Source organism: Homo sapiens, chromosome 3 (assembly GCF_000001405.40).
Source record: "Homo sapiens chromosome 3, GRCh38.p14 Primary Assembly".
In the NCBI taxonomy this organism is placed as follows: Eukaryota; Metazoa; Chordata; class Mammalia; order Primates; family Hominidae; genus Homo; species Homo sapiens.
The window spans coordinates 196,682,322-196,683,763 of NC_000003.12; the positions used below are offsets into that span (position 1 = coordinate 196,682,322).

The 1,442-nt window shown below is 46.9% G+C and overlaps 1 annotated feature.

Annotated features, from left to right (window-relative positions):
- Window positions 718–1,219: an enhancer, noted in NCBI's record as "NANOG hESC enhancer chr3:196409910-196410411 (GRCh37/hg19 assembly coordinates)". NCBI's record gives its function as "activates a minimal SCP1, AML or CMV promoter by ChIP-STARR-seq in naive H9 embryonic stem cells {active_cell/tissue: H9 hESC(naive)}" and the evidence as "EXISTENCE:reporter gene assay evidence [ECO:0000049][PMID:30033119]".

Genomic DNA, 1,442 nt, shown 5'->3' on the forward strand with positions numbered 1-1,442 from the left:
TACTGTGAAACCAACTTAAGGCAATTTGTCCGTTTATAATCGTTGGTAGATAACAGATGAGGTCCACAGATGTCCTGACCCAAACATCATGGCATGATGGAAGCAAGTCTCAGCCCAGACAGAGCCATATGCACATCATGTTTACTATCAGGCAGGTACAGGAACAGTTTTCAAATGTGTTCTGTGTACTTGACGAAGCCCCAGATCTCCGACCTTTTCGGTACTACTCCATTTCACTTGACACAAATGAAACGCTAGTCTCCAGTGAGGATCCAGCTAGCCTCTTGTCAAACTCAAAGGGCCAAGACTATTTTTTTTTGAAACAGAGTCTTGCTCTGTTGTCCAGGCTGGAGTGCAATGGCATGATCTCGGCTCACTGCAACCTCCACCTTCCAGGTTCAAGCGATTCTCCTGCCTCAGCCTCCCGAGTAGCTGGGATTACAGGTGCACACCACCACTCCTGGCTAATTTTTTTTGTATTTTCAGTAGAGACAGGGTTTCTCCATGTTGGTCAGGCCGGTCTCGAACTCCCGACCTTGGGTGATCTGCCCGCCTCGGCTTCCCGAAGTGCTGAGATTACAGGCATGAGCCACTGTGCCCAGCCCAGAAAGGTTTTCTTTTCTTTTCTTTTTCTTTTTTTTTTTTTTTTTGAGACAGAGTCTCCCTCTGTCACCCAGGCTGCAGTGCAGTGGCACGATCTCGGCTCACTGCAACCTCTGCTACCAGGGGACCTGCCCCGATAATCACGTACGTTCTTTTCTCGTTTCCCTAAGCGTCCGCCGGCTTGAGAAATAAAGGGACAGAGTACAAAAGAGAGAAATTTTAAAGCCGGGCATCTGGGGAAGACATCACATGTCGGTAGGTTCCGTGATGCCCCACAAGCCACAAAAACCAGCAAGTTTTTATTAGGGATTTTCAAAAGGGGAGGGAGTGTGCGAATAGGTGTGGGTCACAGACATCAAGTATTTAACAGGGTAATAGAATATCACAAGGCAAGTGGAGGAAGGGCGAGATCACAGGACCACAGGACCAAAGTGAAATTAAAATTGCTAATGAAGTTTCGGGCACCATTGTCATTGATAACATCTTATCAGGAGACAGGCTTTTGAGATCAACTGGTCTGACCAAAATTTATTAGGCGGGAATTTCCTCTTCCTAATAAGCCTGAGAGCGCTATGGGAGACTGGAGTTTATTTCATCCCTACAGTCTCGACCATAGAAGATGGCCACACCTAAGGGGGCCACACCGAAGGGGGCCATTTATAGACCCACCCTCAGGGGTGCATTCTCTTTCTCAGGGATGTCCCATGCTGAGAAAAAGAATTCAGCGATATTTCTGCCATTTGCTTTTGAAAGAAGAGAAATATGGCTGTGTTCTGCCCTGCTCACATGTGGTCAGAGTTTAAGGTTATCTCTCTTGTTCCCTGAACAATTGCTGTTAT